Source organism: Homo sapiens, chromosome 19 (genome assembly GCF_000001405.40).
Source record: "Homo sapiens chromosome 19, GRCh38.p14 Primary Assembly".
NCBI classification, from domain to species: domain Eukaryota; kingdom Metazoa; phylum Chordata; class Mammalia; order Primates; family Hominidae; genus Homo; species Homo sapiens.
The window spans coordinates 46,251,255-46,265,879 of record NC_000019.10 but is presented as its reverse complement, the minus strand read 5'-3'; the positions used below and the strand labels follow the sequence as shown (position 1 = coordinate 46,265,879).

The 14,625-nt window shown below is 46.5% G+C and overlaps 1 pseudogene, besides 3 other annotated features; it reads left to right on the top strand.

Annotated features, from left to right (window-relative positions):
• Positions 274-568: an enhancer, noted in NCBI's record as "tiled region #13463; K562 Activating DNase matched - State 12:CtcfO". NCBI's record gives its function as "activates a minimal TATA promoter and a strong SV40 promoter by Sharpr-MPRA in K562 cells {active_cell/tissue: K562}" and the evidence as "EXISTENCE:reporter gene assay evidence [ECO:0000049][PMID:27701403]".
• Positions 2,203-3,402: an enhancer, noted in NCBI's record as "P300/CBP strongly-dependent group 1 enhancer chr19:46765735-46766934 (GRCh37/hg19 assembly coordinates)". NCBI's record gives its function as "activates an origin of replication core promoter dependent on BRD2, BRD4, P300/CBP, MED14 and CDK7 cofactors, with strong dependence on P300/CBP, by STARR-seq in HCT116 cells {active_cell/tissue: HCT116}" and the evidence as "EXISTENCE:reporter gene assay evidence [ECO:0000049][PMID:35650434]".
• Positions 4,739-5,238: an enhancer, noted in NCBI's record as "H3K4me1 hESC enhancer chr19:46763899-46764398 (GRCh37/hg19 assembly coordinates)". NCBI's record gives its function as "activates a minimal SCP1, AML or CMV promoter by ChIP-STARR-seq in primed H9 embryonic stem cells {active_cell/tissue: H9 hESC(primed)}" and the evidence as "EXISTENCE:reporter gene assay evidence [ECO:0000049][PMID:30033119]".
• Positions 5,019-5,445, top strand: IGFL1P2 (IGF like family member 1 pseudogene 2; annotated as a pseudogene).

The window sequence follows — 14,625 nt, the reverse complement described above, 5'->3', positions numbered from 1 at the left end:
GGTGAGGCAAGAGGATCATTTGAGCCCAGAAGATTGAGGCTGCAGTGAGCTGAGATCACACCACTGCACTCCAGCCTGGGCGACAGAGCAAGACCGAGAGTCACAGATGGCCTGTTCATTCCCTGCCTGTCTGGGGATGGGACCAAAGGCATATTATTTGGGACAGGTAAAAATCCTGTCAGTATATATGCTCATGTACAAGGACGATTAGCAGAAAAAGTAGTTGGAATCCCCTCGTGTCAAGGACAGGGAGAGAAATAGGAAGAACTTCATTGTTTTGTTTTGTTTTAAATAGAGACGGGCTTTCACCATGTTGCCCAGGCTGGTCTCAAACTCCTGGGCTCGAGCGATCGCTGGGTCTTCCAAAGGTCTGGGATTACAGGTGTGAGCCACCCTGCTGGGCTGAAATAGGAACTTAAAAAATGAATATGCCCCCCTCCACCACATGGGGGAGCCATAACCACGTTAATAACTCAGAAGCAGGCCCCACAAGTGAGTCAAATCAGCTCTGATGTCCCTCCAGGCTGAGGATGTAATTTAGAGGCATTTAGAAAATTCAGCTGAAACTCATACAGTTGCCTAAATGAACAGGTTTCCGAAGGATTTTCTTTCTCCAGTGTGGTTTGCCTAATTTTGTGGCCTCAGACAGCTGCTAACATTGTCCAAGTTTGGAGGTCCCAAATTTTCTGGCATCTTCAAAAAGATGCCACCTGCCCCCTTCACACTGCCTGGGTCAAAATATTGTGTTTTGCTTTTTGTTTTGAGATGGGGACTTGCTATGTTGGCTAGGCCGGTTTCAAACTCCTGGCCTCAAGTGATCCTCCTGCCTTGGCCTCCAGGCTGGAGTGCAGTGATGCAATCTCAGCTCACTGCAACCTCTGTCCCTCCGGTTCAAGAGATTCTCCTGCCTCAGGCTCCTGAGTAGCTGGGATTACAGGCACCGGCCACCATGTCCAGCTAATTTTTGTATTTTTTTTTAGTAGAGACCAGGTTTCACCATGTTGGCCAGGCTGGCCTCAAACTCTTGACCTCAAGTGAACTGCCCGAATGGGCCTCCCAAAGTGCTGGGATTACAGGCGTGAGTCACCGTGCCAGGCTTTGTTTCCCACCTTCTAAAATCCCATACAGGGTTAGATTATATGTGGGAACTGGCCATGGGACCAGTCCCTGGTGGGCACCACCCCTTATAACAGAGAAAGTTCCTAGTAGGTGTAGCTAACTGATTAACCTTTAACCTCTGCATTCCAATTTATTGGAGCTCCCATACAGATATGTGACTTTGCACTAGAGGATCTGAGATATATATGTGTGTGTGTATACATATATGTTGAGATGGAGTCTCACTCTGTCTCTGTCGCCCAGGCTGGAGTGCAGTGGTGCCATCACGGCTCACTGCAAACTCCACCTCCTGGGTTCAAGCAATTCTCCTGCCTCAGCCTCCCAAGTAGCTGGGATTACAGGTGTACACCACCACGCCTGGCTAAATTTCGTGTTTTTAGTAGAGATGGGGTTTCACTGCATTGGCTGGGCTGGTCTCGAACTCCTGACCTCAGGTGATCCACCCACCTTGGCCTCCCAAAGTGCTAGGATTACAGACGTGAGCCACTGCGCCCGGCCGAATCTGAATGATATCAATTGAGGTATTGGAAAGCACTAGAAAATTCTATGAGGTATCACCTGTTCTATGAGGACCCCAACTAAAGCAATAGTGTTACTCTCAGCGCTTCTGTAAGGGACACTGCAATATTGATGCGCCTGTGTTTTCTCACAGAATTACCCCATTAACCAGGGCAATCTAGTGGAGTTAGGACGAGGATTGTGTCGTAATTCGAGAGAGCTGGGAAGATGGTCCTTGGGCTCCCTGGATCAAAATATTATAGAGTTTTATTTTTCCAGAAGAATCAACCAATGCAGGCAGAGCAAGCAGCCCTGGAGTTGGGCATTAAACCATCAAGGATGTGGCAACTTAATAGCACGAGGCAGTGACAGCTGAGCATCGAGGATGGGGTCTCCAGCCCTGTGTGGCAGAGCTGCTCCCTCCTGCCTGGCATTGTGGATCCTGAAAGTCCTCAACTTGCTCCTCCACAATTGTCAGGGGAGATGGGTTCCTGGCCGGTCCTTTGTTTCTGGCTTCCAGAACAGCCAATTGCAGAGATAGTTTCCTACCTCTAGGAATGGTGTCTGCTCTGATTCTGTAAGAAAATTCCAGGAGCAGGGCCGGGCATGGTGGCTCACACCTGTAATCACTTTGAGAGGCTGAGGGGGTTTGGATCACTTGAGGTCAGGAGCTCAAGACCAGCCTGGCCAACATGGTGAAACCCCGCCTCTACTAAAAATACAAAAATTAGCTGGGTGTGGTGGTGCACACTTGTAAACCCAGGTACTCGGGAGGCCAAGGCACGAGGATCCTGGGAGGAAGGGGTTACAGTGAGCTGAGATCACGCCACTGCACTCCAGCCTGGACGACAGTGACACTCTGTCTCAAAAAAAAAAAAATTTAAAATTAAAATTAAAAAAAAGAGAAAATTTTAGGATAAGGTGCTATGGAGAAACCTCAGAAAAACAGCCAAAGGTGACAGAATTCTTGAATAAAAATGGGTCATAGGGATTTGTATCAAAATAAGTTGACGGTGTTTCCAGTTTGTTGAGCAGAGCAGCCACGTGAGGGTTTTGGGTTCCTGCTCTCCTCCTCCCATCCTCCCCCTCCAAACGCTCTGCTTCATGAAGTGGGGTTAACCAGGGTAGGGATGTGGTCTGACCACTGTGAAAATCAATATTATTTAAAAGCCACTTGAACCATAACAGCACTTTAAGTGATATGACTGTGATCTGAGTCACATATGATTACAACTTCCGTTTCTCACATTACAGGTCAACTCACTTTCTTCTTCTTTTTCTTTTGTTGTTGTTGTTTGCTTTTGAGATGGAGTCTCGTTCTGTCACCCAGGCTGGAGTGCAGTGGTGTGTTCTCAGCTCACAGTAACCTCCACATCCCGGATTCAAGCAATTCTCCTGCCTCAGTAGCTACCCAGATCTCGAGTAGCTGGGATCACACCTGGCTAATTTTTGTATTTTTAGTGGAGACGGGGTTTCACCATGTTGGCCAGGCTGGTCTTGAACTCCTGACCTCAAGTGATCCACCCGCCTCGGCCTCCCAAAGTGTTGGGATTACAGGTGTGAGCCACTGCGCCCAGACTAATTCATGTTCTTATTTTTCTTGTTCTGTATAATGACTAGGGAGAGTTAAATCACTTTGGGGCAAAAATCACTGCCTTCTGGTGTTTGTTTGTTTTTAGACACAGTCTGGCTCTGTCACCCAAGCTGGCAGGTAGTGGCGCGATCTCAGCTCGACTCTGCCTCCCGGGTTCAAGTCATCCTCTTACCTCAGCCTCCTGAGTAGTTGGGACTACAGGTGTGTGCGACTGTGCCCAGTTCATTTTTGTATGTTTTGGTAGAGGTGGAGTTTTGCCACGTTGCCCAGGCTGGTCTTGAGCTCCTATATATAAAATGTCATATATATATGACACATATATATGACATTTTATATATGTATATCATATATATATCATATATATAATATGTATATCTCATATATGTCATATATGTATATATATGACAAAGACAGAGGAGTCTAAGTAAATGTATGTACTTCTTCAGAGACAGGGTCTTACTCGGTTGCCCAGATAGGAGTGCCGTCTACTCCACTTCCACCCCCAGGGCCGGGCAGGTGACGCTTTGGCCTCTACCTGGGAGACACTAGAGCTCACACTGTGGGCACCTCTGGAGCTGACTGGGGAGATTTTCCTGAATCCTCGGCTCCCGCTGGGTCTGGACACCCTGTGGCTCCCTTGTCACAGGATGGCCTCACACCTCTTCTGCTGTCCTGGGCCCTCGCACTGATTCACGTCTAGAAGGGGACCAGGTCATACAGCAACCTTCGGTGCATGTCTCAGCTCTAGACTCACAGGGTCAGCTGTAAGACTGTGGCTGTGTGAGTGTGGGAGGGTGAGGACAACCCCAGGAGTGTCCTGCAATTTCCTATTTGCCAAAGAAGCCTCCATTCTGGAGGAGAGAGGGACCGAGGGTGGAGGGAGCATCGGTCCTCTCCTGGCTCTCAAAGGATCTGGCATCAAATCCACCATGACACATACCCTGTCTGGGACCTGTCTCGATCCAGGGCCCAGCATGTCTCTGCAGGAAGGCAGGGCATCCCACGGTATCACCAGCTCCTCTAGGAGTATAGGAGCCAAGGAGCTGCTGAGACCTGCTGATCACCCACTCACTCCCCTCCAGCCACCCCGGAGCCATGGCTCCCGAGGCCATGTCCTGGGTAAGGAGGACAGGACCCCATTCCCACCCGAGCCCATCTCCCATCTCAGCCACCACCGAGGCTCACTCCCCACCCCAAACTACACCTCATCCCTGTCCCCATGCCCGGCCTCCTCCTCAGACATGGCTCCATCACAGCAATTCCCCATCCATAGCCCCCGGGCCAGCCCCATCCACAGCCATTTCAGTCCCCAAACTACTCCCCAAAGTCTTGCCTAGCGCTAGTTCCAATCCCAGCCCCATCTTTTTCTAAATGTTGGTGCCAGTCACACCCATAGCACAACACCAGTCTCAGCGCAGCCCCTTCCCTCCCTGACCCCAGCTGAGCCCCAGCTCTGAGCTCCTCCAAAACCAGGAAACAACCACATTGCCCTGAACCCTAGGCCCATTTCTTCCGAGAGTCCTGCCTGCACCCCTTGACCACAGAGAGATTGAGGGTGGAGGGAGCATCGGTCCTCTCCTGGCTCTCAAAGGACCTGGCATCAAATCCACCACGACACATCCCCTGTCTGGGACCTCTCTCACCCCAGGGCCCAGCGTGTGTCTGCAGGAAGGCAGGGCAAGGTCAGCTTCTAGCCCTTCCCTGAGTCTCAGTCAGGGCAGAAACTCCCTCGGAGCCCCCCTTCCCCAAGCTGGGCTTCCAAGGATCGCCTGTGGTTTCCCGATCACCCCCTCTTCCCCTTCCCTCTCCCACAGCAGTCTTGGCCTCTCTCTGCATCCTCAGGCTCCTCTGCTCACACGGAGCCCCAGGTGAGCCCAGGAGGGACTGGGAAACTGGGGGATGAGTGTGGCCCCCAGGGGACCCCCGGCTGGGACCCATCTACCAACCATCTGACCTCACCAGCTCTGTCTCCTCCAGTGGCCCCATAAGTGCTTACCTCATGCTCTGCCAGCGGCATTTGGGAAGTGGGGACAAGCTCTACGACCCCTTGCGGCACTGTTGCTATGACAGTGCTGTCGTGCCCTTGGGCAGGACCCAGAAGTGTGGAAACTGCACCTTCAGTGTCGCTTCGAGCAGTGCTGCCCCGGTCCCTCAGCTCCCAGGCGTCCCTCATGGTGAAGACGAAAGGCCAGAAGTGCTCCTCAGCCCTGACCTCGGGTGACAGGCTTTCTCGTAGGTGAGATCCGGTCCTCTCCATGGCATTGTGGGTGCAGGGGAGCGGGGCGCTGCATACTTGTTCTGCACTGGGTGGAGTCCCCATTCTCCGTGTCTGTCTGTCTCTGCCCTCCCACCTCTAGGTAGTGTCATCTTCATTTATAATGGCGTTGTTTCAAATTTTAATAATAGACAAAAAAGGCCGGGCGCGGTAGCTCACGCCTGTAATCCCAGCACTTTGGAAGGCTGAGGCGGGCGGATCACGAGGTCAGGAGATCGAGACCGTCCTGGCTAACACGGTGAAACCCCGTCTCTACTAAAAATACAAAAAATTAGCCGGGCTTGATTGCAGCCGCCTGTAGTCCCAGCTACTCGGGAGGCTGAGGCAGGAGAATGGCCTGAACCCAGGAGGCGGAGCTTGCAGTGAGCCGAGATCTCGCCAATGCACTCCAGCCTGGGCGACAGAGCGAGACTCCGTCTCAAAATAATAATAATAATAAGAGACAAAAAAATCTTCTCTCCCTATTACACTCTATCAAGTTTTACTTGACAATATTTGTGCAGTTAGCTTTAACATCTCCAAAGTAATTTTCTAAAGCTTCCTCCTGAAAAATAGCAAAATTTAGAAGTGCAGATTGAGATGAAAATTTTTTGTAAATATTGTTTGGCTTTGGGAACAATGACCAAAATGTTTAATACTTCCCGTCCCAGAGGTTTATTTACTTTTTTTTTTTTTTTTGCCTCTATTCAATCCACCTCTCCTTTTCCCTCCACTTGTTTCTCTTCCTCCATCTGTTTTGATTTCCCTCTCAGAACCTCGCTCTTTCAGCATCGTTGTCACGAGGCAGTGGCAGCTGAGCACCGAGGGCGGGGTCTCCAGCCCGTGCGGCAGAGCTGCTCACTCCTGCCTGGCAGGAGTCCATCAACAGATAAAGCTAATAATGGCAAACTGATATATGAGAAAGGTGACATTATACATTAGAAGAAAAGGGATGAAACTAGTCAACAAGTAATTTTAGATTCAATAGGCCACATAAGGATGCAGAATTTACTTTTTTTCTGGTGACTCAAAGCCAACAAGAATGAAGAAGTGGCCAGGTGGCCGGGCACGGTGACTCACGCCTGTGATCCCAGCACTTTGGGAGGCCGAGGCGGGCGGATCACGAGGTCAGGAGATCGTGACCATCCTGGCTAACACGGTGAAACCCCGTCTCTACTAAAAAATACAAAAAATTAGCCAGGCGTGGTGCGGGTGCCTGTAGTCCCAGCTACTCGGGAGGCTGAGGCAGGAGAACGGTGTGAACCTGGGAGGTGGAGCTTGTAGTGTGCGAGATCGCGCCACTGCATTCCAGCCTGGGCGACAGAGGGACACTCCGTCTCAAAAAAAAAAAAAAAAAAAAAAGTGGCCAGGTGCAGTGGCTCACGCCCGTAATACCAGAACTTTGGGAGGCTGAGGCAGGCAGATCAGCTGAGCTCAGGAGTTTGAAACCAGCCTGGGCAACATAGTGAAACCCTATCTCTACAAAAACTACAAAAATTAGCAGGGCATGATGTGAGCCTGTAATCCCAGCTCTGGGGAGACTGAGGCCCAAGAATCGCTTCAGCCTGGAGTTGGAGGTTTCAGTGAGCCAAGATCCCACCATTACACTCCAGCCTGGGTGCCACCCTGCCTGGCCCAGGTTTATTTACTTTTTAAAATTAGATCTAGTTTTATGTTCTTAAGTATCACTTTATGGTTTCCTTACCACAAATCTTACATATTTCTTGATACAATTAATTCCTGTGTAACATAACCTTTTGCAATACTCTACTTTTTTACATTTCAATTCCCCTGGTTATTGCTAGTATAACATTATCTGTTGATGTATGTACATTTAATTTATATTCAGTCAAAATATTAAATATTCCTAATCCATTTATCTTCTTTTAAGGCAAATCTTTTGGGTTTTCTGGATATACAAACATATTGTCTAAAAATAATAATATCTTTTCTTCCAGTGCTCATTTCTTTTCTTTTCCTTTTTTTTTTTTTGAGGTGGAGTTTTGCTCTTGTCACCCAGGCTGGAGTGCAATGGTACAATCTCGGCTCACTGCAACTTCTGCCTTTCAGGTTCAAGAGACTCGCCTTTCTCAGCCTCCCGAGTAGCTGGGATTACAGGGATCCACCACCATGCCTAGCTAATTTTTGCATTTTTAGTAGAGATGGGGTTTTGCCATGTTGGCCAGGCTGGTCTTGAACTCCTGACCTCAGGTAATCTGCCCACCTCAGCCTTCCAAAGTGCTGGGATTACAGGCGTGAGCCACCACACCCGGCTCTAACTCATTTCTACATGTTACTGTATTGCGATAGTTAGCAACACCAAAGTAATACTGAATAATAGAGATTGAAGAAGACATATCTGTCTTATGTGGATATTAAGGAGAATAATATGATGATTTCTGGTGGTTTATAATAAACATCTTCAAATGTATAAAGGTTTTAAAAATCCTATTTTACTTAGTCATACTTTCATATTAGAAATTTCTGCTGAAGGTATTTCATCAAATTCTTTATTCATAATTATATATGTATAAAATCATATGACTTTCCTCCTTTAATTAGTTTGGTTAATTAAGTTAGTAGCCATTTGCTGAGAAAGTACGGTGTGCCTGCTGCTATTTGGGATCTGAGGACCCAGCACTGAACCAAGATGTTAATTCCATCATCTCAAATTCTATTGGTCATTTCAAAAATTAAAAAGATAAAAGGCCAGGCATGGTGGCCCATACCTGCAATCTCAGGATTTGGGGAGGCCAAGATGGGAGGATTGTTTGAGGCCAGGAGTTTGACACCAGCCTGGGAAACAGAGTGAGACCCCATCTCTACAAAAAATTAAAAAGTTAGCTAGGTGTGGTGGCACCTGCCTAGGTACTCAGGAGGCTGAGGCAGGAGGATCACCTAAGCCCAAGCATGGAGGCTGCAGCAAGCCATGATTGTACCATTGCACTCCAGCCTTGGTGATGGAGTGAGCTTCTAGCTCAAAAAAGAAACCACCAAAAATGAAAGAAATAGGGATAGTTCCAGTGGCAATAGTTCTATGACGAAGAAACATATTATGAAGGCATAGGGTGATGGCTGATGCTATTTTAGAGAGAATGGTATGTGAGGCTGCCCTAAGAAGGTGATATCTCAGTAGAGCTCTGAAGGGAGTTGGGTTAGAACACTGTGAAGAACGCAGAGGGCGGTAAGGTGGGCAGTGCTGTGTGAAGACGAGTTAGGGCAAAGCTGGTACTGCCTTATGTCCAGAATGGCATTTTTTTTTGAGGTAAAATTCACATAATGTCAAATTAAGTTTCTAAAAATGTACAAGTCAGAGGCAGTGAGTGCTTTCACAATGTTGTGCAACCATTACCACTATTTCCAAACAATCGCATCACCCTAAAGGAACCGTGTATCCATGAAGGAGTCACGCCTCTTTTTCTCCTTCTCTCAGCCTCCAGCAACCACTAGTCTTCTATCTCTACGAATTTGTCTCTTCTGGATATTTTGTATAAATGGATTCATGCAGTATGTGAGATGACAGGCTGGATGGGGCTCGTATGTGAGCCCTTAGTTGACAACACTGAGGAGCGCTAGCTGTCACAGGGACAATGTTTATTATAGAAAGGATTTATGTAAAAAAAAAAAAAAAAAAAAAAAAAACAGCTGGCTATGGTGGTGGTGCATGCCTGTAGTCCCAGCTACTCTGGAGGCAGAGGCCAGATGATTGCTTGAGCCCAAGTTCATCCAGCCTGGGGAACATAGTTGAGACCTTGTCTCTGGAAAAAAAAAACACCCAAAACCAAAACCCCAAAAAACCCTGTTCTCTTTTATCTCCATGGAAGAAATGAGCCCAAGGAGGGCACCTGGAGAATCCTCAACGTGAGAAGTCCAGCATTCGCTGATGCATCCAAACTAGTGCCAGCATTAGTTTTGCCCAAAGTGTCACAAAGTCCCTCATGGAGGTATCTCTTTCTGCTTTTAGAGAGGTGTTAAAGGAGAGTGGTAAATAATAGGTTTTGGTTTTATTTATCCACTTAATGAAAACTAAAATGTTTACTCAGTACCTCTGTGTACCTGGCCCTGTGACACAGGGTGAGGTCACTGTGTTGCCCATGGTTTGTTAGTGTGTAGAAATGCAATAGAGTTTTGAGTGTCAATTTCACACTTTGCAACTTTGCTGAATTTTTTGTTAATTCTTTTTTTTTCTGAGACAGACCCTCACTCTGTCGCCCAGGCTGGAGTGCAGTGGTGCAATCTCGGCTCACTGCAACCTCTGTCTCCCAGGTTCAAGCGATCCTCCTGCCTTCATCTCCTGAGTAGCTTTGATTACAGGTGCGTACCACCACACCCCGCTAATTTTTTGTATATAGTAGAGACGGGGTTTTGCCATGTTGGCCAGACTGGTCTTGAACTCCTGACCTCAGGTGATTCACTCACCTCGACCTCTCAAAGTGCTGGGATTACAGGCGTGAGCCACTGCGCCCGGCCTTGTTTGTTAATTCTAACAGGTGTTTTATTTGGGGTGTGTGTGTGTGGAAGGTTTAGTGTTTTCTATAAATAAGATTATGTTTCTGTGAATAGAGATGCTTTTACCTCTTCCTTTCCAATTTGGATGCTTTTAATTGTTTTAACCACCAAAACAATTCTCTATTATTTTTTTGGTCATGAAGTCCTTGTAATGATAGTAGGGCTGGGTACCATATTGGTGTCACACTCTGCCAGTCATCCAAAGAATATGCCAGACTTTTTTTTGTTTCAACTCCTGTGTGTACTAGTACGTCACTGGGCCCATCAGGTGGCTCACCAAGAGAATTTCAGTAATGGATTTCGGCTCTCTGTGCATAATAGATGACAGTCCTTACGAAGGATTCCGTTTGTCTTATAGCTTAGATTTGAACCTGCTGCAGATGTCACATTTACATTCTTGGATGGGTTTTTATCATCAGTTTCACCTCCTCCTCCTCTTCTTCCTCCTCCTTTTCTCTCTGGATGCTTTTAATTCTTTTCTTTTCTTTTTTTTTTTCTAAAGGTTCTGGCTAGCACCTCCAGTACAATGTTAAATAGCAGTGGTAGAAGCAGGTCTCTTTGTCTTGTTCCTGATCTTGGAGGAAGAGCCTTCAGTCTTTCACCCTGGAGCTCACGGCCTAGAGAAGAAGGCACAGAAATGAGCAAATTATGCAAATTAATGTATCATTTCAATTAGTGATATGTGCAACAGCAAGTAGCATAAGACATATTAATGTGTAAAATTTTGTCTCGGAAGGAGGAGAAACTTTCTCAAAGAATCTGCGTCCTGAGTAATTGGTAGGAGTAGGAAATCTATTAAGGTGATAGATACTCTAGCAGGGATTGCCCTAATTTCTTTTTGGCATTGGCCCCACTTAACAACGGAATAGGAAAACCTCCAGGAAGGAAGGAAGCTAAAGAAACCGGACTGGTTAACCAAGGAACCAGATCTGTTGCCTAAAAGTGAATCATCAAGTTTGTGGCTATTCCTGTAGGGCATGGTAAATGCCCACAACACATGGCCCTGAAGTTTGTTCTTCTTTCTGACTTTGATGGAGTTCAATTTATTGGTGTTTACTATTTTGCCTGGACTTTTGGTGTCACATCCAAGAAATCTGCCAAGTCCAATGTCAGGAAGCTTTCTCCCTATGTATTCTTCTAAGAGCTTTATAGTTTTAACTTTTGCATTTAGGCCTTGGATCTCATTAGTTTTTTGAACTAATTCTTGTGTATGGTTAGAGATAAGGGTCCAACTTCATTTTTTTTTTTTTTTTTTTGAGATGGAGTCTCGCTCTGTTGCCCAGGTTGGAGTGCAGTGGCGCGATCTCGGCTCACTGCAAGCTCCGCCTTCCAGGTTCACACCATTCTCCTGCCTCAGCCTCCCAAGTAGCTGGGACTACATGTGGCCACCACCATGCCCAGCTAATTTTTTGTATTTTTTTTAGTAAAGACAGGGTTTCGCTGTGTTAGCCAGGATGGTCTCGATCTCCTGACCTTGTGATCCGCCTGCCTTGGCCTCCCAAAGTGTTGGGATTACAGGCGTGAGCCACCGCGCCTGGCCTGTTCTTTATTTTTCAAAATTATTTTGTCTATTCAGGGTCCCTTAAGAGTCCATGCGAATTTTAGGATTTTTTCTGCTTCTGCAAAATTGTCATTGAGATTTTGATAGAGATTGCTTTGAAGCTGTAGATCACTTTGGGTAGTATGGACATTGTTACAATATTAAATCTTCCAACCCATGAACACAGACTGTCTTTCCATTTATTTGTGTCTTCATTACTTTTTTTCAACAATGTTTTGTAGTTTGCACTATACAAGTCATTTGCTCTCTTGGTTAAGTTTATTCTGAATTATTTTATTCTTTTTTTATTTTTATTTTTTGAGACAGAGTCTTGCTCTGTGGCCCAGGCTGGAGTGCAGTGGCATGATCTTGGCACACTGTAACCTCCCCCTCCTGGGTTCAAGCAATTCTCTTGCCTCAGCCTCTGGAGTAGCTAGGATTACAGGCGAGCGTCACCATGCCCGGCTAATTTTCATATTTTTAGTAGAGACGGGGTTTCACCATGTTGACCAGGCTGGTCTTGAACTCCTGACCTCAAGTGATCCACCTGCCTCAGCCTGCCAAAGTGCTGGGATTACAGGCGTGAGCCACCATGCCTGGCCTGAAGCACTTTATTCTTTTTGATGGTATTATAAATGAGGTAGTTTTCTTAATTTCCTTTTTGGCTTGTTCATTGTTAGTGTATAGAAATGCAAGAAATTTTTTTTTTTTTTAAGTTGAAGTCTCGCTCAATATCCCAGGCCGGAGTGCAGTGGCACCGTCTCAGCTCACTGCAGCCTCTGCCTTCCAGGTTCAAGTGATTCTTCTGCCTCAGCCTCCCGAGCATCTGGGATTACAGGTGCCCACCACCACACCCAGCTAATTTTTGTATTTTTAGTAAAGACTGGGTTTCACCATATTGGCCAGGCTGGTCTTGAACACCTGACCTCAGGTGATCTGCCCACCTCGGACTCCCAAAGTGCTGGGATTACAGGTGTGAGCCAACACACCTGGCCTAATTTTATATATGCAAATATATAAATATCTCTCTCTCATCAGTGGTAGAACATACATTTTTTTCAAGTCTATGTTAAACATTTATGCTAAATTGATCATATGATGGGTCATAAAGAAAGTCTCAGCTTCCAAAGGATGATTATTATTAAAAGTAGGTTTTTGAGCTGGGTGCTATGGCAGATGCCTATAATCCCAGATACTCAGGAGGCTGATGTGGGAGGATCACTTGAGCCTGAGAGTTCAAGTCTAACCTGGGCAACATAGTGATACCTCATCTCTAAAGAAATGTTCTCTGGGACTCCCAGCTTCCAGTCAAGCATGTAAGAGGCTTGGAACTCATCACTGCATCTTAACAGAAAGTGAATACTGAACAAAGAGAAAATTAACAATTCTTACATCCATTAGAGGAGTGGGATCACAGAGCAAACCACTGCCCTTAAGATTTCGAGAGACAGGCAGGTGGATACAGAGAATCAAAACTACTGCAACAGAAACCCATGACCAGAAACCCCTGTGGGAACCAGTACCAGGACAGGAAAACATGAAGTCTAATGAATGAATTCCTGGAGGCTCACGGCGGAGCAGTCTGAGAATTAAAAACTCCAGGGGGCCCAGTCTAAGGGGAGCCTCTGCATTTTTCTAAGAGTTTTACCTCCAGGAACCCTATCAGGTTCTCACAGTGAATATGGGAGAAAAATCTCCTTCATGGTCTGGCATGAAGTGGGAAGGGGGAAAGTAACCGCTGTGAAACACACCAGAGTATTCTGTTCTTCTTAACAAGCTCTGCCATTAAGAGAAAGCATTTTACCAGAATCTAAATTATTAGGGTTTTATCAGAGCCTAAATGACCTGGAGGAAGAGAGTATTATTTTTATACAGGACAGTAAACAAGTATTCTTTGCTCTAAAGGGAAACCTTACCTCTGTCTTCCAAGGCAGTACACTACACAAACATCCTTGAAAAGAGTGTGGAACAAAAGGACAGTCAATGCCTCACTGCCAGGCCAGCAAAAAAGCAAGAGATCCATGGGGAATTGTCTCTGACACTAACAAACCAATATTTTTGCAAAGTAAATAAACACATGAGCAAGGTGATAATAGTGTGCTGGAAAACGCTGCCCTGCTGCAGTGGTGACTGTGATAGTCCCGGGTGTCTGGGAAGACACGCCAGGATCACAGAGTGGGGCCTGGTTTTAGAAGAATGCAAATCTGGTCATGAGTTTCACTGCTTAAAATTATTGAGTGATGGCCAGTCGCGGTGGCTCACACCTGTAATCCCAGCACTTTGGGAGGCCGAAGGAGGGTGGATCACCTGAGGTTGGGAGTTCAAGACCAGCCTGATCAACATGGAGAAACTCCATCTCTACTAAAAATACAAAAAATAAAAATTAAAAAAAATTAGCTGGGTGTGGTGGTGCATGTCTGTAATCCCGGCTACTTGGGAGACTGACGCAGGAGAATTGCTTGAGCCTTGGAGGCAGAGGTTGTGATAAGCCGAGATGGCGCCATTGCACTCCAGCCTGGGCAACAAGAGCAAAACTCTGTCTCAAAAAAAAAAAAAAGAAAAGAAAAGAAAAGAAAAAACCAAAAAAATTATTGAACGACTCCCCACCACCGCTAGGATGAAACCCAGGCTCCCAGCTTGTCCCACAAGGCCCTTTGCTACCTGGGCCTGCCTTCCCCTCCAGCACCTTCTCTACCTACACCCACGGCGTCCCTTTTTCATCCAACCAAAGAGTCACTCCTTGAAACAGTGCAAACAGGCTTCCACAGCATGACTCACCTACCAGCACCTGCTCCCAGTAACTTAGTTCCCTTCAGGGTTTCTCTTTCTCCCAACCTTCCCACCCTGCTTCCAACTTCCCTCACTGATAGAGAATTAAGGACTCACTCTATGCATCCCATAGGACTCACGCTTACCTCTCTCATTGTCTTGTCTTGCCATTGGTCACTCTCCTGGGTATTTGCCCAACCCAAATTCACCCTAAATTATTAGAGATATGCATGCAAAGCATAAAACTTTCAGCACATGGTTTTTGAAAATTAAAAATAAAAATCTCCTTCCCCTCCTTTTACCTCCCCCCTCATTTGCTCGTTTGCACTCCTCAGAGACCAA